Source organism: Homo sapiens, chromosome 1 (genome assembly GCF_000001405.40).
Source record: "Homo sapiens chromosome 1, GRCh38.p14 Primary Assembly".
In the NCBI taxonomy this organism is placed as follows: Eukaryota; Metazoa; Chordata; class Mammalia; order Primates; family Hominidae; genus Homo; species Homo sapiens.
The window spans coordinates 178,630,844-178,655,147 of NC_000001.11; the positions used below are offsets into that span (position 1 = coordinate 178,630,844).

A 24,304-nucleotide genomic window follows, 5' to 3' on the forward strand; every position below is an offset into this window, starting at 1 on the left:
TTAGCTTAAGCACCACAGCGTGAGCATGGTTAGACTCAGCACACACAGGCCTAAAGAGAATTAAGATGATGAACACGATGGCTTTAAGGCAGATTTTCAGAGATTGTTATTATAACCCCAGAAAATATGACCCAGAGCAATTGCTCTGGTACCCCTTAAGACTTCTGGGATTCCTTGGCTCTAGCTTGGAAACTGCACTGGCAAGAGGAGAACCATCATAAAGTTTATGGGCTGAAGAAATTGTAAGACTACACATGTGGGACAGGCACGGTGGTTCACACCTGTAATCCCAGCACTTTGGGAGGCCAAGGCGGGAAGATCACTTGAGCCCAAGAGTTTGAGACCAGCCTGGCCCATATGGTGAAACCCCATCTCTACCAAAAATACAAAAATTAGCTGGGCCTGGTGATACACGCCTATAGTCCCAGCTGCTCTGGAGACTGAGACAGGAGAATCGCTTGAACCCGGGAGGTGGAGGTTGCAGTGAGCCAAGATCATTCCTCTGCACTCCAGCCTGGGCAACAAGAGCAAAACTCTGTCTCAAAAAAAAAAAAAAAAAAAAAAAAGACTATATATGTGGCTCTAATTTACAACTTGCATGGTATTTCTATTAGATAGTTCTGTTATAGTATTTTAATCCATTTTTAAAACTAATTATTTTAATCAACAAATGAAAACTATAAATATACACATGATATAATGTACAACACATTTTGAAATATGTCAATTTTGAATTAATGTGATAAATTAATAAATCATCTCTGAAATAATGGTATTAGCCCCAGGGTCATATAGTGAAAAGAGAACTGACTTGGGTAGCAAGAGATATGGATTCTAGAATTTTTTAAAAAAAGAATCCAGGGCTGGGCACAGAGGCTTACACTTGTAATCCTAGCACTTTGGTAGGCTAAGACGGGCCGATTGCCTGAGCTCAGGAGTTGGAGACCAGCCTGAGCAACATGGTGAAGCCCTGTCTCTACTAAAATACAAAAACTTAAGTGAGCATGGGTGGCATGCGCCTGTAGTCCCAGCTACTTAGGAGGCTGAGGCATGAGAATTACTTGAACCCAGGAGGCAGAGGTTGCAGTGAACCAAGATCACACAACTGCACTCCAGCCTAGGAAACAGAGCGAGACTGTGTCCAAAAAATAAAATAGAATAAAATAAAATAAAATAAAATAGAACCCAGGAGCCCATACTAATACAAATGAATGAATGAATGAATGAATGAATAGGGGCAAACGGAAAACTTACTTACAGTAGGATTCTAGCAACCTCATGTGCCTCCTGATATCATGCCCTGAGAAGGACACTGCACCATGGCTGTACTGTGCTGTGTCTGTGCTAAAGTCGCAGAACTTGAATTTAACCACAAGAAAACTCCAACAAACCCAAATCTAGGGCCGTTCTTCAAAATAACTGACCTATACTCTTTAAAAGTGTCAAGGTCCTAAAAGACAAAGAAAGACAAAGGAGTTATTCCAGATGAAAGGAAACTGAAGAGACATGACAACTACATCTGTTTGAATCTGAATTGGATCTTGGGACAGATAAAGGACATTAGTGGGATAATTGACAAAATTTGAATAAGGTCTGTAGATTAGTTAACAGTATTGTTTTAATGTTAATTTCCTGATATTATACCTGTACTATGGTTATGAAAGAGAGTGTTCTTGCTTTTAGGAAATACACACTGAAGTATTTACGGATGAGGGAAATTGAAATTCTAGTTCCAACTTTATTAGCTGGGGCATCTAGGACAAGTTATTTAAACTCTCTGGGCCTCAGTTTTTTCATTTGCACTGGCTCAGTGGTCTTCAAAGCGTGGTACTTCTAAAACAGCGTCATCTGGGAAGTTGTTAGAAATGCAAATGTACATGCCCCACCCCAGACCTGAATCAGATACTGGGAATAGAGCCCATGTTTTAGCAGGCCCTTCAAAAGATCCTGATGCATGCTCATATTTGAGAACCACTGCCCTAGTTGATTACTAAGGTCCTCTTTAGCCTTAATGTTCTGCGGTTCTCATTTGTCTCTCCTGCTGAGGACAACCCATTCCCAAAAAGGATATCCCTCCCCCAAGTCATTCATCATTTATTTGGTGCTGACGAAGGGCTGGCCAGGAAGTTGGGAGTGCTGGAACTTTGGAGAAACAGTTCTCCTGGGCATTCAGACTCAACCTCTGCTTGCAATAGGTACAGATTAAACGTAGAACATTTAATAACCCTACTTAGCTCAGGAAACATTGAAGAAACCAAGTGATGCATAATTACGTTCCACGCAGTGGCTTGTCTGCCTCGGCTTCTTACTAAAATGCTTGAGCCAGTTGCTTCTAGGAGGAATAAGGCTGTGAATCACTCTGGCATGTTTCTATTACTAGCTATAGAAAGGTTTACCTCAGACTTCTCTGCAGGATAAATGTTTCCTGGATTACTCAGGTGGCGAGAATCTCTCCTAGTGCCTTCTAAGTCATTCTACAAACTCAGTCACTCTTGTCTGTTAAGAGTCTAAGCTGTGGCCCAACAGAGTATTAAGCTTGCTTCTGATTGGCTGATTAAAAACAAAAACAAACAAAATCTCTCCCATCTTGGTGACTGGATTGCCCCTGTGTCCTGCTTCCTAGAGGTTCCCACTCACACCTACTCCCTTATCTTCAACACCACCTGACTCCCAAATCTACTTTTTTAGTCCTGACCATTCCTTAACTTTAATTTCTGATTTTTTTTTTTACATTTTTATTTATTAAACAATACACCCATATGATTCAAAACTCGAGAAATGCAAAAGGCTATTTAGTATAAATCTGTAGGCATTATGTCCTTCCTTTCCCTGACTGTAACCCCTCCGCCATCATCCTCCAACTTCAATTTCTAATTTGTTACCATCCTGGAGATCTACTTTTATGTTTGTTTGTTTGTTTACTTATTTATTTATTTATTGAGAGGCAGGGTCACACTCTGTCGCCCAGGTTGGAGTGCAGTGGCGCAGTCATAGCTCACTGCAGCCTCAAACTCCTAGGCTCAAGAGATCCTCCCACCTCAGCCTCCTGAGAAGCAGGGACTATAGGCACAAGCCACCATACCCTGGTGATTTTTTTAGAAAATTTTCGTAGAAATGGGCGTCTGGCTATGTTGCCCAGGATGGTCTTGAACTCCTGGCCTCAAGCATTCCTCCCACCTCAGCCTCCCAAAGTGTTGAGATTACAGGCATGAGTCGTTGCACCCAGCCAGGATTCCCTCTTAGAACTGATGTCCCTTGAAAGTCACCGTGTCCTAGAATGAACCCATTATCTTCCCTATTACCCTGAACCTACCATCTTTAAGCCTCTTTGTTTTCACCAGTAAAATGGGCTAATAATAGGACTTTCTTCATAGGGTGTTTTGTATGTTCCCCATAGAGGCAAGACTTGTAAGCTTTCACACTGCTGGAAACATAGTAAGCACTCAGTAAAAATTCACTATTGATAATGCAGTAATGATACCAAGAAATTCTCCCAAAATTGAATATCTATGTATGGCTTTCCCCTCTACTTCCCCTCCCCACCCACAGTCCCCCAGTCTTCCAAACTGCCAAGCTCTGGGGTTTATTTTTTTTCCTCTTTCCTTTCTCTATTCCAGATGTTTGGCCTCATCTATCTTTATATTGTCCCCTTCTTGATGGGACTTGGATGGGGCAAGAGGAATTAGGAGGAAATTCCCTGGGAAGCTGCCCTTTTCTTGCGAGGGCTCTTGGGCTAAGCTGCTGAGGAGACTTCTCAGCTCAAGGGTTACATGCCTTTGCCCCACGCCCCTCCCATCATGGACTCTCCCAGTCTCTCTTCTGGGATGTTGCTGGTAATTAGTAGTTCATTCCTGACATTGCTATTTCCCCCTGGGCCAAATGACCAAGATAGATATATTTAAAAATACAGGGTTTCCTGGCTCTCTTTAGCATGTTTAATCTTCCCACCATAGCTTACATTTCCCTCTCTTCCCTTGGACTTCACAAACAAATGCACAATTAGCATTTTCACAGTAAAATAAATAAATACACACGAGAACAAATCCTTCCATCTGTCAAGTGTTGTAGTCCTTAAATATAAAGGACTGCTATCTTGACATAGGGGAGGAAAGGAGGGACAATGAATGACTGCCTCACTGACAGCAGTCAGAATTTGAAGGAAAACAAAGGTACCAATGCTGCCATTTCTGCATTCCAATCTGTATTTTCTTAACCGTCTTCTCTCCCAAGCCACCCTTAGCCAGTGGGTATTCCACACCAAGGACTGCATTAGACCTAGTTGTATGAGCCATTAAAGTTTTCAGCTGGGCGCGGTGGCTGACACCTGTAATCCCAGCACTTTGGGAGGCCAAGGCAAGTGGATCATTTGAGGTTAGGAGTTCAAGACCAGCCTGGCCAACATGGTGAAATCCTGTCTCTACTAAAAATACAAAAATTAGCTGGGCATGGTGGCTCATGCCTGTAATCCCAGCTACTCAGGAGGCTGAGGCAGGAGAATCACTGGAGCCCGGGAGGCAGAAGTTGCAGTGAGCAGAGATTGCACCACTGCACTCAAACCTGGGCAACAGAGCAAGACTCTACCTCAAAAAAAAGTTTTCATAGTGTGGCCCTTGAGTTAAGAATATCTTTCACAGCCTGAGCAATGAAGTGAGATCTTTTCTCTACTAAAAAAAAAAAAAATTTATCCAGGCATGGTGGTGCAGACTGGGGAGGCTGAGGCGGGAGGATTGCTTGAGCCCAGGAGTTGGAGACCAGCCTGTGCAACATAGGGAGACCCCATCTCTACAAAAAATTTAAAAATTAGCTGGACATGGTGACACTCACCTGTAGTCCCAACTACTTGGGAGGCTGAGGTGGGAGGCTCACTTGAGCCCAGGAGATGGAGGCTGCAGTGAGCTGTGATCATGCCTCTGCATTCTGGCCTGGGTGACAGAGTGAGACCTTGTCTCAAAAAAAAAAATAAAAATTCTTTCTTATCCACCTGGTAACTTGGAAATGAGTACATGAACCTCTAACTGCTCTCTACTAAGCCATATTTGAGCCTGGTAGAGCGACGTCTCAACAGAAACTGCAGTCTATCAGAACATGGTAATCTTGCCAAATGAAGTGGTTAAAAGAGAAATACCTTCTTAACCAAAGCTAAAACATCTGCAACCTGGTTGTAACATTTCATATTTGATTTCAAGGAACATTAGATTTATTATGTCATGTACTTCCATTTTGTGACAGATGCTTCCTCTGCAGGAATATATTGGGTTCAAACATTTCTACCTCCAGGAATCGTTTCTTCACCCTGGTTTCCCTTCACTGGTCAGTTATTTTCCCTGGGTTCGCATAACCAATAAACAGTATTGTTCTGCTTTGGGTCCTGTGTTTTTAGGGGGCCTCCCTCTGACCCTCTTTTTGACTGTTCCCTCCTTACAGGACAAATAGTGCCCTCCCAGAGCCCATGCCTTCCCTTTTGGACCATATTCTAGGTACCCAACACCCCAGAATACTCTCCTTAAACAGCCCAGAGCCCTCTTCCATAGGTCCATCCTAAAAGTGGACCATGCAGCTGGTGAACACACCCCGGGGGGACTGAAGAGGGACCAGGTAAAAACCATTTGCTGCCAGAGAGCTTGGATCTGCGGTCCCAGGAGTCCACATGCACCTGACTCTGTGGAACAGGATGGAGCTGGAGATGGGGAAGCCCCAAGGAGCTGAGCTAGGGGTATATCTGATTATCTGACAAGGTAGGAGGAGAGGACATATTTCATTGATAGTTTGTTAGCTTGGTTTATAACTTTTAAATACTTAGACATATAGTCCATGGGCTTCTCTTTATACTCTTGCCCTGGGCCCTGCAAATGTTAAATGTGGGACTGCTCATAATACCCTGGGAATAGCTCTAGGTTTGCAGTGCTAGCATTGTATTTAATATAATCATCTGTTTTCATGACTGGCAGTTGCCACATACTCCCCCCAACCACAGGGCCCTTGCACACACTTTTCCCTTACCTGGAATGCTCTTCCCCGCTGATCCCTCTAGCCTAGGAAACATTTTTTTCTTTTTCTTTATCTTTTTTTTTTTTTTGAGACGTAGTCTCACTCTGTAGCCCAGGCTGGAGTGCAGTGGCACGATCTCGGCTCACTGTAAGCTCCGCCTCCCGAGTTCACGCCATTCTCCTGCCTCAGCCTCCCAAGTAGCTGGGACCACAGGCGCCTGCCACCACGCCTGGCTAATTTTTTGTATTTTTAGTGGAGACTGGGTTTCACCGTGTTAGCCAGGATGGTCTCGATCTCCTGACCTCGTGATCCTCCCACCTCGGCCTCCCAAAGTGCTGAAACTTTTAATGTATCGATCAGATCTCAGTTCAAATACCATTTGCTCTAAAAGTCTTTCCAGACTTCCTAGATTAGATCAGGCCCTCTGGTTTTCACTCTCACATCTGCCTCTGATAAACACTGAGGAGAAAATACAGTAGTCACATAATACCAGTGTTAATGATAATGAAAAGGCAGTCATCAATACTAAAGTTCAGACATTATGATAGATGGTTTACTTACATTACCTCATTTATTCTCCATAAGAAGCCTAATAAACTACTGTTATATCCCCATTTTACAGATGAAGAAGCTGAGCCTTGAGAAGTGTGATAGACTATTATGCTGATAGTCCCCAAATGAATCAGGGCTCGCAGAATTCACATCCTCCTGCAGCCCCCTCCTACATTGATTCCTGGGTTACCCAGGTGATTTGCTTTGGCCAATGGCACATCAGCAAACATGACTTAAGCGGTGGCTTGATAAATTCTTCCTTTTGGAAGCTAGACACCATTTAAGAATCCTGGACCAGGGCCAGGCACGGTGGCTCACGCCTGTAATCCCAGCACTTTGGGAGGCCGAGGTGGGCAGATCACTTAAGGACAGGAGTTCAAGACCAGCCTGGCCAACATGGTGAAACCCCCATCTCTACTTAAATTACAAAAAATTAGCCAGGCCTGGTGGTGGGCACCTATAATCCCAGCTACTCAGGAGGCTGAGGCAGGAGAATTGCTTGAACCCAGGAGGTGGAGGTTGCAGTGAGCCGAGGTCTCACTACTGCACTCCAGCCTGGGCAAAAGAGAGAGACTCTGTCACACACACAAAAAAAAAAAAAAAAACCAGACCAAACTGATGACTGAAAAGAAGCACATGGTGAGAGAAGCCCAGCTGGCTCAACATCTCAGCCCCCTCCCCTTTTCCTGAGTGTGCAGCCACTTAGAAAAGGACAGTAGAAGAACTATAGTCAGCAACTATAGAACTATTGTTGTAAGTCACTAAGTTTTAGGATAGTAATAATGTAGCATATGTATACTATGAAATAGACACAGTCATAGATAACTGATACAGAGAAGGTAAGTGATTTGCTCAAGAACACAGAGCTTCTAAGTGATATATATGAATATATAAACAGGCCCATGTTCGCACAATATACATTCCTAGTCCAGCTATCCTCTTCTGGACACTGCTGGGCATCGTGACTGGATCTCTGCTTTCTGGGCTCCTCTCCTGGTCTACACTGCTGTGCTTGCCCCCTCCTCATCAACCTGGCTTCCTCTGGCCTTGTTGTCTTGAGCATGTCCTGGATGAGACAGGACCATTGGCAGTAGCAAAAGTCCCTGGGTAAGATGGGCAGATTCTCATCACAGTGTGAGATTTCTCCCTAGGTCTGGGTGCCCACAGCACCCCCTCGGCTCCTCCCAAAGGGAATCTTGTAGGCCCCAAACCAGCCCCTTCCTTCCTTTAGGTCTCCAGAGCACTCACTCCTCAAGCCTCCACTCAGCCCTTTCCCATTCCTCAGGCCAGGTTTACCCCACGATGGACTTAAAAATAAGCTTGTCTTGCTACCAGGAAGATTTTCCACCAGGAGCCTGCATAATTGGCCCTTCCCATTCCAAGATGCAGAAGGTAGAATAGGAAACAAAAGTGCTGGTCCTTTCTCTCAAGTACCAGCCAGGACTATAAACCTTTTCTAGCCCCAAGCCAGAAACTAGAAGGGAAGAACACCTTCTAAAGAGAGAAAGACTGTGAAGATAGCTGACACCCAGAGAGTGATTGGATGAGATCTGAAAAATCCCTTATCATGTGCAGGGTTTCTAAGGGCCCTTAGAGAGCTTGCTGATTCCAGAAAGATGTGCATCACTTTCTTTTTTAAAACAGCATTATCAAAGTATGCTTTCCATTTCAATTGTACAGTTCATTTATTTTTACTTTACCAAATGGCACAGCCATCTCTTTAAACCAGTCTTAGAACATTTTCATCTTCCCTGTAAGATCCCATATGCCCTCATCCCTATTCCCATCCCTAGCCCCAGGCAATCACTATCACTGCCTGTCTTATAAATGTGCCTTTTCCAGATATTTCATGCAAATGGAATCATACAATATGTGGTCTCTTGTGTCTAACTTATTTTACTGGGTGTAATGTTTTTGAGGTTCATCCATAACATAGCATGTGCCAGTAGTTTATTCCTTTTCCATTTCTGAGTAGTATTCCATCATATGAGTATAGCATATTTTATGTACTGATTTACCAGCTGATGGACATTTAGGCTGTTTCCAGCTTCTGGTGATTATGAATAACACTGCTATGAACATTCTCATGTTAGTCTCTGTGTGGTCATATGTTTTCATTTCTCTTAGGAAATTTGGGAGTGGAATTGCCAGATCATTTCATATTTAACTTTCAACTGTAAACTGCCAAACTGCTTTCCAAAGTGGCTTTATCATTTTACATTCCCACCAGCAATTGTGGGTTACTTCTCCTCCCTAAGACATAAGACAAGTATCCTTTAATCTTTGATCCACTTCCAGTTTTTTTACTCTAAGATTCAATGAGGTCACTGAGAATGTTTCAGCTATGTTTTCCTGAGTTGAATGTCACTTTTATTCTCTACAGTTACCTTGAGTAGTCATTTATGACATGTATACTCAATATACACATGTGTCATTATCTATTTATTTAAAACACTTAGCTCATCAAGTTGACTCCAACAACCATTTGATTTTTAACTATCTCAGGGAATGGTCATGCAAAGGTATTTGTGTAAACTCTGAGGCAAACAACAGTATACAGCTCAGAAGATTTGCCGGGAAACTGAACTCCTCAAAAATAGATTTCACAAGAGTGCAACCTCAGGTGGTATTTTCCGTAAGAGTATATTGGTCCCAAATGTGTCCACATGAAACTCATTAAGATGAAAAGTTAGTACAGAGGACATGTACATAGAAAACCTCAGAGGCCAGAGGAAACAAGTTTAGGGAAGAAGCAAAACAAGTGTAGGGTTAAAGAAGGTATACACCAACACGTCGCACAAATTTACCTTAGAATGTTTTTTTTTAATTATGCCTCCATAGTTAAAGAAACTGTGGTCAGAAATCCTAACCTTTTCGAAAAGCTTTCTAGACTGTTTTTACACAATAGCAAGAATATACATTTAAAATTTCTTGCCAAGTGACAAAAAATACTGAGATTCAGAAATAAAGCCTAAGATAATTAGAGTCTAAAAACTGCCATCGAGGCCTTGGTAATATTAAATATGTTTACCAGAGAAGGAGGTTGATGATGTCACAACTATTGTCCCTGAGTTTATTCGTATAAGTTGGCTGAACTAAGATTTCTATTATAACACTGAGAATAGAGTATATAAAGAAAATCACTGGTTATTCAGGAATAACATGAGGAAGTTTCATGTCTTGATTGTGGAGTTGGTTTCTCATTCTACACATGTGCTAAAATATCATAGAATGCCCCCACACACACACACAGTGAATGTGAAAACTAGTAAAATCTGTATCGTCTGTACCTGAGTGAATATCATACCACTGTAATGTGGTTTTGAACCTGCACTATGTTATGTGAATTATTTTCACTGGGGGAAGCTGGGTGAAGTGTACATGAGAACCTTCTATACTATTTTTGAGACTTCTTGTAAATCTTGAACTTCTTTAAAATAAAAGTCATTTGAAAGAGAGAAAGGAAGAAAACTACTACGTTTAAAATTTATGTCTTTTTTTTTTTTTTTTTTCTAAGACAGTCTTGCTCTGTCGCCCAGGCTGGAGTGCAGCTGCGCAATCTCGGCTCAGTGCAAGCTCCGCCTCCCAGGTTCACGCCATTCTCCAGCCCCAGCCTCCCGAGTAGCCGGGACTACAGGCGCCCGCCACCACACCCGCTAATTTTTTGTATTTTTAGTAGAGACGGGGTTTTGCTGTGTTAGCCAGGATGGTCTCGATCTCCTGACCTCGTGATCCGCCCACCTCGGCCTCCCAAAGCGCTGGGATTACAGACATGAGCCACTGCGTCCGGCTAAAATTTATGTCTTGGTTGGGGGCTGTGGCTCACACCTGTAATCCCAGTACTTTGGGAGGCCAAGGTGGGTGGATCACCTGAGGTCAGGAGTTCAAGACCAGCCTGGCCAGCATGGTGAAACCCTGTCTCTACTAAAAATACAAAAATTAGCCAGGCATGGTGGCAGGCACCTGTAATCCCAGCTACTCAGGATGCTGAGGCAGGAGAATAGCTTGAACCCCAGGAGGCGGAGGTTGCAGTGAGCCGAGATTGCGCCACTGCATTCCATCCTGGGCAACAAGAGCAAAACTCCATCTCAAAAAACAAACAAACAACAAAACAAAACAAAATAAAAACTTATGTCTTACACTATTTCAAAATAAAAGGTATTTGAAATGCCTTAAAATAAAAGGAGGGAAGGGGAGGATAGAAAGAAGGGGAGAAGGGAGGAAACACCAGGGATTCTTTTCTTCCTTTTGTGGTCCGTGTAGGGTAAAGACACCTGAAAGCAATAACTTAAGCACACCCTTAGAATGACCCCGTATGGCAGATGCATCCAATTTGTATTCTGCGCTGGAGAATACAGGTGTGGCCAACTTGAGGATTCATTTGTTGTCTGTGAGGAGCATCTGAGCCCTGCCTGCCTCTGTCCCAACCATCGTTCTGGCCCGTGAAACACAGGTTGTACAGGAGAAGGAGGCCCCAAGTTTGGGTTGAATGAAGGTTGCCAGGTGGAGATTGTTAGGGAAAGGGTGCTGAGTGAAAACACTACCTAAATTGCATGCCTTTTGCAAGCGGTTGTGGTTCTTCTGCCTGGCCTGCCCCTACTGGGCCCGGGGGTTATCTTGTCCACCACTGGACTCTCTCCCTTGTATGTCACCCCCTAGTAAAACCTCCACGTATCTCATTTCTGGCTCTGTGTCTCTTCTTTGGCCTCTTGAACCTGATGCCTTTTCTGTTGAGGTTAATAGGGTGTAGGCACAGCAGTCAGGATGAACTAGAGGAAGTGAAGAGGTGGGGGACAGTAAGGTGCCTCCTAAAGTTGAAAATAAAGATCCCTTCTGAGAAGGAAATTATGAAAGATCAACACAACTAGCCCGCCTTAAACTGGAATGTGTATATGGCTGACATTTCCTAATGGAAGAGCCTAGGTGTAGCATGAGGAAATTAGCATGTCTAAACCCGGGGTCTTGCTGTTTCCACTGTAACTTTCTTTGGCAAGAGTGATAACAGAAGGAGTTAGCCTTCCCTGCATCTGCAAGCACAGAGTACAAACATCAAGAATTGTTCACAGGAAAGAGTCTGGACTGGCTGTTCCAGCATCCTTGGCAAGAGTTACCTCGACAGCAGAGACAGATGCATCAATTATCATAGCTTGGCGACAAGAGCCATTAAGACCATTCTTGAATTCCCTTCTCTATGATTCCATCCTTACTTTTAATTGTGCTTTGGCGATCTGTGTAGCTTTTGCATAGCAAGATAATGAGCTGATCGGCCAATGCAAGGATTTTAGTCCATTTGACATTATTTCTTCTTCATAAATTAGTTATTTGGCATTCTGGTTCATATATCAATATCGTGTGGGTTTTGTAAGTATGACTGAGCAACTGGAGCAGGATTTCTTAACCTGGAAACCAGGGGCGGGCTTCAAGGGATCCATTAAGCCCTAAGATTACTTGCAAAAGTGTGTGTGTGCCTTTGCAGTGTGCATTCATCAAGGAGAGGGGGAAATAGCTTTCAACAGATTCTCATAGAGGGTTTCAAGTCTGGATACACTGGCAAAATAGTATTTCTGGGCTTATAAAATTGAAGTGTCCACAATAAGACAGTATGCTGTGGTGTGCTGTAAAACAATGCCTATCAGGCAGGGGGTATGCTTTTGTTGTTGTTGTTCTCACTCTAACTATAATATCTTAGATTGAGGGGATTATTCATAACATGGTTTTGTTTTTCTTTTCACAGAATACCCTGGGAATATTTTCCTGTGCTATTCTTCTTTTATGACACCATTTTAAATAACTTCATAGAATTCAGTGGCTCAAATTCATCTTATGAGAAATATTTTAAAAGCTTATTCACTAATAACCCCTAAGAGGCTTACTGTTTATGTGAAATGTAGACTTGTTTTTATTAATAGACACCCAAGTGTGAGAACTAATTGCAGTCACTATTATTGACAGCTAATATTTATGATACACCAGCTCCATACCAGGCAATGTGCTAACTGCTTTGCATATGAAATCTGGTTGTGAGCTTTACAACAGCCCTGGGAGGTAGATATTATTATTTTCACTCAACAGCTGAGGAAACTAAGATACAGAAAAGTCAAAGAACTTACTGAGGTCACATTGCACTCAGCAGTGGAGTCAAGCTGCCAGGCCGTAACTGGCTGCCCTTCACCCCTCACCATGATGCTCAATGTCTTTATCCTTTAAGCTCCATTTGGATGCACTTCCGCCTTGAAGCTTTATTCTCACTCAAAGTCATTTCTTCCTTTGTGGTCGTCCTCTGGTTCTTCAACTGGCTCGAAATCACCCCCCTTAGCACCATTAGAGTATTACCTAACTCAAGGGTCAGCAAACTTTTGCTGTAAAGGAATCGATTGTAAATATTTTAGGTTTTGTGGCCCATATCATCTCTGTCACAGTTATTCCACTCTGCTGCCCACTGTAGCATGAAAGCGGCCACAGACAATCACTAAATCAGTGAATGTGGCTGTGCGCCAATAAAATCTTATTTACGGACATTGAAATTTGAATTTCATGTAATTTTCACATGTCATAAAATGTGTTCTTCTTTTTATTTTTTCCAACCATTTAAAAATAAACTATTCTTAGCCCATGATCTGCAACAAAAACAGGTGGCCAGCTGGATTTGAACCATAGGCCAAAGTTTGCCAGCCGTTCAGACTGCATCTTCCGTGTTCATATTCTCCACAACTACATAGAACATCTTTGGGCTTAAAAACTATATCTTAACCTTTTCTGACTCTCCACAGAATCTATATACAGGGATAGACTCATAATTAAGTACTCAACAAATATGCGATTAATAGTATTGATGCTTTTCACCCTCAGAGCCTTTTCTAAGAAGAAATAAGTCCATTTCAAAACATGTGTCCTCTTTATTTTCTTCACCCTTTTCCCTCTCTAATAGAATTCTCTATCTCTAAAATACCACAGCAATTTTTTGGTTCTGAGTGCTGATAAGCAATACCCACGTGCTTGGTTAGCTTAAAGGTCAGATGGCATCCTGGCCAGAGGCCAAGGAATACAGCTGGTGAAAATTCAAGCTGTCACACACTTGTTGCTAGCCTGAATTTCTAGTTCCTTCATCATGAATTATTAGATTGTTTATCATAACGATTTGCTGCATGAACAATCATTTTTAAAGCCATAATCCCCAACCGGGAGAGATGTCATGACTTGATGGGCTAAATTTAGGACTATGAGAATCCTGCTGCAGGACTGGCTGCCATGCATCATCTGTGGGCCTTCATCTGTCAATGGAGGGTAAGAAGCACTACCCTCTTCTTATGGGCTTCATGAGGCTGGACTGATGGTGAATGACTCTGCACATATAGCAGTGATAGTTGTAAGCATCTTCATTTACTTTTGCTCAATCATGTGACACAGTGCCAGTGAATGGTAGTATAAGACAGAGAAATATGCTGTACTCTATTATGTGTAGAAATGAAAACTGTTTTGTTTTAAAATTTGCCTTAAGGCCATGTCAACAAACTGTGGAATCAAGCTGATATTTACTACTAAGTACACACTTAGAAATTATGCAACATACGCCAATGAGCTTTTTTGTTTTATCATCTCAGAGTGAAGTTGCTGAAACCAGGAACTGTAATTACAGTAGTCTTTTTGCTGTCCTGCTATTGGTCAGATGTCACTCTGCTGAATAGCATATGAAAATGATTGGTATTATACTTTTTTAAGAATGGCCCATAACATGGTTTTCAGGATGGAATTTTGCAAATGCTTCTGCATAACAAGTAAAATTCTAGGTTTTGGAGGAGCCAGCTGTGCTGCAGGGCTTGAATGTTATTCTGATTTATTTCTAAAAGTTTATTTTAAGGGTTTTTCTTTTTTTCGCTAGAGTTAGTTTTCACCCTCTTTACAAATGCCTTAAAATAATCTGGTGTTGAAAACTCTTCCAACAGCTGCCACCTTGCCTATGGGGTGAGGAGGCGCTCTCTCAAGGGTAAAGCAACACTCGGCAGGAACAAATGTTTAAAATTTGCTGAAGACAGAAGACAAAGGAAAGCTTTATCACTTACTTGTTAGCTACAGCAAGGAGAAACTTTTCGACTTAGAAATCCCTCAGCATTCTTCATCAGATTGATGGCTTACTGCTCCTAAGCAGACAGCAATCTCATACATGGTGTATATTAAGAGATGGAAAATAAATTGACTCACAAAAGATGTTCTTTCAAGCCTCAGACTGCAATTACCATGGAGAAGGAAGGGGAGGAGGCATTTGGCTTTGTAACTGGAGCCTCAATAATAGGGCAAGGCTCAGGGGTAGCAGCTGTTTCTGCCCCCACATGCTGCCTCATTCCACAGACGGGTCAGGTGGCATCTATGCACACAGAGTTTGTGACATTTGTTGAGTGCTTAGAGTGCCTGGATGAAGGGTGCTTATAGGAATGTTGACAATCGATAATTATTACTATAATAATAATATTATGTGGATAGGAGGTTGGTTGGCCTTATATAAATATCCTGCTTTGATGTAAGAAGCTCCCAAGCACCAGTGGTTAACATAATTTTGTTTGGGAAATATTATGCTCAGCTGTGGTCATTATGGTGTCTCCCCTACTGTAACTCCAAAGAGTAGCTCGCATATTTCTATGTGGGTTAGTCACTGGATCCTTAATAAACCAAGAATGTAAGACACTGATGTGGCAGATCTTGTTGCTATTACTAACATGCTGGACATGCTAGTCCATCTCTCCCTCTACCTTCACTGATGGTCTCAGGGTAGAGAAGAAAATATTCTTCCCTAAATTTAGATTCACACTGCTGGAAATTTAAAAGTCCATGTACTTCATTCAATTTTATTGAATAAAGAAAACCTTTAGAGGCTGGGCGCCGTGGCTTATGCCTGTAATCCCAGCACTTTGGGAGGCTGAGGCTGGCAGATCACCTGGGGCCAGGAGTTCAAGACCAAACTGGCCAACACAGCAAAACCTGGTCTCTACTAAAAATACAAAAATTAGCCGGGCATGATGGTGGGCGCCTGTAGTCGCAGCTACTTGGGAGGCTGAGACAGGAGAATCGCTTGAACCTGGGAGGCGGAGTTTGCAGTGAGCCCAGATCATGCCATTGTACGCCAGTCTGGGCAACAGAGCAAGACTTCATGTCAAAAAAAAAAGAAAGAAGAAAGAAAAAGAAAGAAAGAAAGAAAGAGGGACAGAGGGAGGGAGGGAAGGGAGGAAGGAAGGAAGGAAGGAAGGAAAGAGAGACGGAGAGAAAGAAGGAAGGAAGGAAGGAAACCTTTAGTTAGCCTAGGAGTAAAAATGGAAAGAAAGGGAAGAAATACAGTTTGGGGAAGTCTTAGGTTAATTTGATTATTTTTAACAATTATTGAGCCTCCACTATGGCCAGACACTGGAGATGGATACATACAAAGCCGACAAGGAGACTGCAGGCTGGGAGGGATGCACGGATGAGCTGACAAGTGCCATAAAGAGCCACGTGTGGAGCGATACATGCTCTAAGAATAGTAGAGGTACAAGGGAGAAAAGGACTTTTCTTTCTGGAGGGGAGTGAGCCAGTCAGAAAATCCAGAGCAAAAGACATGAGCTAAGTCTTGAAGAATGGATGCAATGGATCCTCCAAGCTCACAAACTGCCCACATTCCAGGCAGAAGCAGCAGTAGGAGCAAGAGCGTGGAGGTGAGAAACAGAGCAGCCTGCTTGCTGATGGAGAAGAAAACAGAGACAGAAGTCTCAGAAATGCCTAAATCCTGTGATTCTCTGCTGAAAAGAACCACCAATCTTGCCCAAATCCCATCCAGGACCTCTGCAAGCACCACCTCCTCCGGGAAGGTTTCTGGCTCCTTTGAATGTCTGCAGCAGTTTTACTATTGGTGTCATTTCTCTAGCACTCCCATCCCATTTCCCACCCTACCCTATTTCACTGTGCTCTCACCACCCTCTTTGTGAGTAACCCGAGGGCAGGGATTGAGTCTTGTAAAGCAGCATAGTACCTTCAACTTAATTGTTATTTCATAAACACTGGACTTGATTTGAATTGAACTGCTCAGTTTGATTCACTGTGGTCAGTGTACATAGAGATCCATAGTAGATAGTTTTTTCTGTTTTTATTTATTTTTTATTTATGTATTTATTTATTCATTGAGACGGAGTTTCACTCTTGTCACCCAGGCTGGAGTGCAATGGCGCTATCTCAGCTCACTGCAACCTCTGCCTCCCATATTCAAGCAATTCTCCTGCTTCAGCCTCCCGTGTAGCTGGCGTTACAGGTGCCCACCAGCAAGCCCAGCTAATTGTGGTATTTTTAGTAGAGACGAGGTTTCACCATGTTGGCCAGGCTGGTCTCGAACTCCCGACCTCAGGTGATTCAGCCACCTTGGCCTCCCAAAGTGCTGAGATTACAGGTGTGAGCTACCGTGCCCAGCCTATTTTTTTTTGAAATTTAAAAGTTATAGAAAAATTGTAAAAATAGTACTTGGAGCTCCAAGTACTCCAAGCACTGACACTCACCCAGATTACCAATTATGACCATTGAATCACATCTGCCTTATTCTTTCTAGTAAACACACACACACACATTAAACTTGTTTTCGTTTTTTCCTGGACCACTTGAGAAAAAGTTACAGACATGATGCCCCCTTACCCTTTAATCTTTCAGTGTGTATTTCCTGTAAACAAGGACATTTTCTTACACATTCAAACCATCAATTAACGTTGACAATGAACAAACCAGAACATTAACATTGATCCAACTTTACCGCATAATTCACAGACCGCATTCAAATTTCCCCTATGGTTGCAAGAATATCTTGTACAGATACAGGCCTTTTATAGTTACAATTTTTCTTTAATCTCCTTCATTTTGGAACAATTGCTCAGCTTTTCTTTCTCTTTCACGACCTTGACATTTTTTTAAAGTACGTACTTTGTAGAATGTCCCGCAATGTGGGTGTGTCTGATGTTTCCTCGTGATTTATGCGTTTGTAGCAAGAACACCGCAGAAGCAATGCCTTACTCTTCTCAGTGCATCTATCAGGAGGCATACGATGCCGAATTGTCCTATCGCTGGTTTTGGTAAAGATGATGTCTCACGGGTATCTCCACTGAGTCATCCCTAAGTATTTTATGAGGAGATACCTTAAGGCTTCTATTATCAGATAGAGCTTTCCTTTCGTCTCCATTTATGCATTTATTTTTTAGCAATGTAGATTCATAGATTCCTATTTTATTCAAAGGGTTAAAAATCAGTAACTATCACTTATTCAGATACTCAAATTGCCCAGACCTGACCATCGGGAGCTCTTTTTTTTTTTTTTTTTTTTTGAAACAGAGTCTCACTCTGTCGCCCAGGCTGGAGTGCAGTGGCGCAATCTCAGCTCACTGCAACCTCTGCCTCCCAGGTTCAAGCAATTCTTCTGCCTCAGCCTCCCAAGTAGCTGGAACTACAGGTGTGTGCCACCATGCCTAGCTAATTTTTGTATTTTTTAGTAGAGATGGGGTTTTACCATATTGGCCAGGCTGGTCTCGAACTCCTGACCTCGTGATCCGCCTGCCTCAGCCTCCCAAAGTGCTGGGATTACAGGCGTGAGGCACCATGCCCAGCCCATTGGGAGCTCTTTTAAGGCAGATCTTGTGACCTTTTGATATGTCCCTACCATGCTTTGGACATTTCCTTACTTTGTAGTACAAGATGTCCCTGTTTCATCTTTTATTTTATGTACTTCAGCCCTAGAATCAACCATTTCTCTAAGGAACCCTGGTTCCTTTAAATGGAGAATAATATTTAGAAGCCACACCCTGCAAGCTAGGGATGCTCATTGCTACTAGGTATTTTTCCCTCCAGCCCTCACAGCACATAGAACTAGGAAATATATATGTATATATCTATTTACATATTTGTATGAGTATATACATGTATGTGTATATATATCTCTGTGTGTATACAGTAGTCCCTCCTTATCTGTGGGAAATGTGTTCCAAGACCCCCAGTAGTTGCCTGAAACCATGAATAGTACCCAACCCAATTGCTGTTAGAACGCACTTCTATCCATGTCCTCCAACCACAAATTTAATGCCTTCTCCATCGTTAATTAAACAATGTGGCTGTAACTTTCGCAGTTTGAGGTGTGATAGCAAAACTAGCAGTTTCTTTTTCCTTTTTCACAATTTCACAGATGGAAGATTCGTTCTTACTGTGGATCTTAGCAATCTCAGCATACAATTTTCTCTTTCCTTATTAAGGAGAACTTTCACCTTTTCACTTAAAAGCACTTTATAGCTTCTCTTTGGCATATCCGAACTGCCAGCATTGCTACTCTTGTGCTTTGGGGCTATTAGTAAGTAAAATGAGGGTTACTTGAACACAAGCACTGTGACACCCGACAGTCAATCTGAAAACCAATGCAGCTACTAAGTGACTAATGGCAGGAGCATAGACATCGTGGATATGTTGGACAAAGGGAGGATTCAAATCCTAGGCAAGACAGAGCAGGACGGCGCACAATTTAAAACTCATGAATTGTTTATTTCCAGAATTGTCCATGTATTATTTTTGGACCAAGGTTGACTTCAGGTAAATGAAATTGAGGAAAGCAAAACCACAGATAAGGGCATATGCACACCCACATAAACACCTACACACATTGGTACCTATGTCAACATCTGTGTCAATGTCTACATAAAGCTATGAGTTCACACTGGTTCCTCTTCTTCCAGTCTAATACCACAGGGCTTATTCTAGCCATTCCCCTTTCAGTATTTATAATTCCCTTCTGACAGCGAGAAATGTGACTCTCATCATGCTCAATGTATTTGGTAAAGATGGTGTCTCACGGGTATCTCCACTGAGTCATCCCTAAGTATTTTATGAGGAGATACCTTAAGGCTTCTATTATCAGATAGAGCTTTCCTTTCGTCTCCATTTATGCATTTATTTTTTAGCAATGTAGATTCACAGATTCCTATTTTATTCAAAGGGTTAAAAATCAGTAACTATCACTTATTCAGATACTCAAATTGCCCAGACTTGACCATCGGGAGCTCTTTTTTTTTTTTTTTTTTTTTTGAAACAGAGTCTCACTCTGTCGCCCAGGCTGGAGTGCAGTGGCGCAATCTCAGCTCACTGCAACCTCTGCCTCCCAGGTTCAAGCAATTCTTCTGCCTCAGCCTCCCAAGTAGCTGGAACTACAGGTGCGTGCCACCGTGCCTAGCTAATTTTTGTATTTTTTAGTAGAGATGGGGTTTTACCATATTGGCCAGGCTGGTCTCGAACTCCTGACCTTGTGATCTGTCCTGCTCTGTCCTGCCTTGGATTTGAGTCCTCCCTTTGTCCAACATATCCACGATGTCTATGCTCCTGCCATTGGTCACTTAGTAGTTGCATTGGTTTTCAGATTGACTGTCGGGTCTCAGAGTGCTTGTGTTCAAGTAACCCTCATTTTACTTACCTCTTTGCTTAATCATCCCTATATGTCATCAGTCCCAACTGCAATGGCAAAAGCTTGTCCTGTTACCATGGGTTCCCCCAAACAGGCAAGTCCCTTTCCCCCACCATGGTGGGACTGAATGAACAATGCCCTATAGTGATCAGCATGCACACTCTGAGGGAATTCTGCCCACTTCTGCCACTGCCTGGACTCTGAGAATCGGTGGACAAGGATCACAAGGTTGACTTTTCCTGTTGTTGCTTAGCAGAGTGAATGTTATTTTCTGCTTTGCCATGGCAGTGACCCCTTTAAATGTGGAATTTTTTTTTTCTGTTTGCTCCTCTCTACTTCTCTGATTACTCATAGGACAGTAAAAGGATTAACTGAATCCATTCAAAGATGTGTCCTGCTCCAGGCTTCTCTCAGGAAGAGTGCATGATAAATATTATATAGCTTGAGGCCAAAGGTCAGCTGATCCCTCCTCACAGCTGCCAGATGGTTGACTCTTCTAGTATATTCTCAGGGCCACCAGCTCACTTCCTAGATACACATCCCTAAGTCATCTTCCACGCCTCCTGCCTCCAACCCACTGCGTCCCCAGCCCCATGTCAAATTGTAACCTTGGAGGCAGCAAGTTCCTTTGCACGGCAGCTGCTGTGTCAGTTTCTCCTTGACCGATTTACTGTGGCCCTTGAGACGGCCCCCTTCACAATGTCCTTACTGTTCTTGAGGGCTGAGGAAATCTTTTTCTATGAGTTAAATCCTCCCTACTCATTTAGATGTTTCCTTACAGAATTTTCAAAACCAGACAGTATGTGTCATACCATGTTCCCCAAATGAAGCTGAAAATCCAATTTATAAGACCAATTTCTACTCTCTCACAATTTATATTATTAGGGAAAATGGATAATAATGAAGCCCACAGATTTTCACTCCAGAACTGACTTTGCTGCAGAGGAGTGAGGAGAGCTGCCTGGCAACGCAACGCATCGCTGTGCATAAACTTTGTTTACAGCCAAGGCTGGAGTAAAGGAACAGATGGCAAGAAAATCGGATTTAAAGAAAGGAAGGATGTGCTTGCATCTGGGAGCTCGGTAAATCTCTTGGCTTCTGGTGTGCGTACAAGGGTGACGTCTAGCTACCCCAGCAGTCGCGTCCCAGTTTGCTGTTGATTTTTGCCTGTTTGGATCTGTCTCTGAGGATGGTTAATACATCTTATTACAAGCATTTATCTCATCCCTCCCACAGGAAATGTGTTTTCCCAGGGATTTGTATGTTCCCTAACCTTTTATGGAAAGCAGTTTCTTGATCATCCATGTGATTGTGTATCTAAAATTTCAAGAATATTTAAGCTGTTAATCCTGCTTGTCTGTAGAAGATGGGTTTATATTTCTATGATCTTGGAAATATTTACAATGAGCATGTATAACAAGGAGAAATAAGCATAAACATTTATGCCTGCCACATTCGTAAGCATGCTTGCACACACACACCCGCTTTGTGCTTTATTGTCTCTCTTTGGTGCTTTTCTCTGAAGGCAAAACAATTTTAAGCAGCTGACCCTCACAATATATGAAATAGCTATTATCAAGGCTCACAGTAAAGCTGCCCAAGGCTTGCTTACCCCTCCCTCCTAAAGGAAAGTACAAGTTACTATTCAGGTAAGATTTACATCTGCTCCCTTGGGAAGGTAAAGGGAGAGAACATATACATTTTATCCCAGTGATGTAAACTTGCACTTAACCACCCCAGTTGTTCAATGCAGACAAGTTATAAGCATTTTTATTTCAAAATAACCCCATATACATTTATAGCAATTCTAGGACCTTCACAGCTACCCATAATCAATCCCCTACAGAAACATGCACCCTGCCAAGAAACTCCACCCCACTCCTACATGTTAGCAACCTGTCACTCCTCAGCAACATCCAGTTCTGTTGAAAGACACTTCTTCAAATTCATCGTGAGCTGAAGATGAAATTACTTAAGCAAAAATACCATATATTATAAAAATAGTTCTTTACAAAATAGTCACCAGTTAAAAAAATCAAAGCATCTTATAGGATTGACTGCCAAGCACCACTGGAGGCAAGCGCTATTAGAACTGGTTTGACCCGACTCATTGCCTCCTGGTCTATGCCAGGCCAGTTGCAGCTGTTAGGCATAAGAGTGATTCTTTCTGGTGGCACACAGCTTGCCCTCTTCAAATAAACCCTCTGGGCATACCTCCCCAGCCCCCTGGAGTGCTTCTGGGGCCACATTCTGGAACTTCCAGGCAGCCCCAATGGCCAATGGTCAGTGCAATCCCCTTCACCAACCTCCAGAAAGGTAACTTTGGGTTCAGAAGTCTATGGCCTGCTGGTGCTCCCAAATCTCTCATAGTGCTTGCGTTCTGGCCTGTATGATTATGGCTTCCTCACCCTACTGGCAGAGGGCACAGAGGAGGCCTTGGTACAAAGGCCAAGCTGGGCACAGGGCACTTAGTGACTATGTATCACTCATTGTTGAGTCATGTTCTTTCACTTTACATAGCCTCTGAGTTGGCCACCACCTCGGATCCTCTACCTTCAACCCACTGCTGTGACTCAGTCAAGGAAAAAGCCCTACCAAGGAATCCCCGGAAGAATCCACTATGGCAATTCACAAATGCTCCTCGTATACCCTAAGTGGTTCACGGTAGGGCAATGGAAGCATGCAGTGCAGGGACAAGGAACCAAGGCTGTGACCAATCCCATTTAAGTATCGTATCTTTAACTAATTTCTGATGTTTGGAGGTCCCACTGGCCTCAAGAATGTTGCAGTTCTTGAGTCCTGTGTGCCAGGAACCACTGATAGATGTGCAGTTGTAGCTTTAACCAACAGCAGCCACCATCCAGGAGCCACCATCCAGGATGTTTCTTTTTTTGACTGAGGCAAATAAAGCCTTGGCTCTGTGGGGTTGCATAAGGATCACCTAGGATGCTTTTTCAAAATGCAGACTCCTGGGAGTCACCCTTGCCTCAATCTTCTAGGTTCAATAGGTCCAGGGTAGGACCTGAGAACAACAGGTTCCACAAGTGAATCTGATGATGGTGGATTTGGGGAAAAAGCCCTAGATAGTAACCTTTGTCTTCTTGTCTTTTCACTGTACACAATCCCCCTTCCAACTTGTTTTAATTACCTGGAGCTTTAATTATCACCTATATGCCAATGACTTCCAAGTCTCTATACCTATAGTCCTAACCTCTCTCTTGAATGCTAGGTTTAAATTTCCATCAGCCAGCAGATAAATCTCCCTTAATATACCATGGATAATTTCAAAAACACTTTCAAAACATAATTGTGAGAACTTATTTCCTCCTAAGACACTTGAAATTAATTGCCCCTCTTTGAGGTCTACGTAGGTAGTAAAAGGCCAGGGTTGACCAAAACGTGAAATCCACTCAGGGTAAAGAAAGTTTTATTTAAATTTCTTGTAAAGTTAAAAAAAAAAGAAAAGAAAAAGCAATGTTGCTAATGGCTGAATAACCCATAATACTCAGACCAGAAAGCAGTTTGTTCCACAGTCTGTAGGTTTTAAACTAGTGTCAGCTCTTTGCTGCAGATGTGAAGAGAAATGCAAACATTTCACCCACTTAATGATTTTTTTGCCTTGTTTCCCTAAGACAACTAATAGCTCTGTAAAGGCAGTATTTGATAACTGCGAGTACATATTGTCTGGTGATTTGATTCTTTATTGCTTCTCAAATCAGGATGGTAAAGATTCCAACTTGAGAATCTGAGTTATTTTATTTACCTGAAGATGCAGATCTGTAGTAATCAGGCTCCTTTTGTTGCAGGGAGCAGAAGCCCACTCAGTTTATCTCAAGTGTTGGATCACCTGAGGTCAGGAGTTCAAGACCAGCCTGGCCGACATGGTGAAACCCCGTCTCTACTAAAAATACAAAAATTAGCCAGGTGTGGTGATGGCACCTGTAATCCCAGCTACTCGGAGGCTGAGGCAGGAGAATCTCATGAGTCTGGGAGGTGGAGGTTGCAGTGAGCTGAGATCGTGCCACTGCACCCCAGCCTGGGAGACAGAGCAAAACTCTGTCTCAAAAAAAAAAAAAAAAAAGATAAATAAAATGGATGGGTTTTCAAATCAAAGTAAGTTTCAGTCACTATTATTGCTAGTTTATTTATATTTAATAAATATGTAATCCCATGACACTGTGCAACATAATTAGCAAGTATTTATGCTGTTGAATCCATGACCCAGTTTCCTGAAGACATCTGTTTTCTAAAAGGATTTTTTTCAAACTTAGATTAAAAAGGCACTACTTAAGCAGGGTTGCCAGAGAGAATACAGGACACTCACTT

General features: G+C 42.5%; 2 annotated features.

Moving 5' to 3' along the window:
• Window positions 2,251-2,545: a silencer, noted in NCBI's record as "tiled region #1317; HepG2 Repressive non-DNase unmatched - State 23:Low". NCBI's record gives its function as "represses a minimal TATA promoter and a strong SV40 promoter by Sharpr-MPRA in HepG2 cells {active_cell/tissue: HepG2}" and the evidence as "EXISTENCE:reporter gene assay evidence [ECO:0000049][PMID:27701403]".
• Window positions 21,717-22,916: an enhancer, noted in NCBI's record as "CDK7 strongly-dependent group 2 enhancer chr1:178621695-178622894 (GRCh37/hg19 assembly coordinates)". NCBI's record gives its function as "activates an origin of replication core promoter dependent on BRD2, BRD4, P300/CBP, MED14 and CDK7 cofactors, with strong dependence on CDK7, by STARR-seq in HCT116 cells {active_cell/tissue: HCT116}" and the evidence as "EXISTENCE:reporter gene assay evidence [ECO:0000049][PMID:35650434]".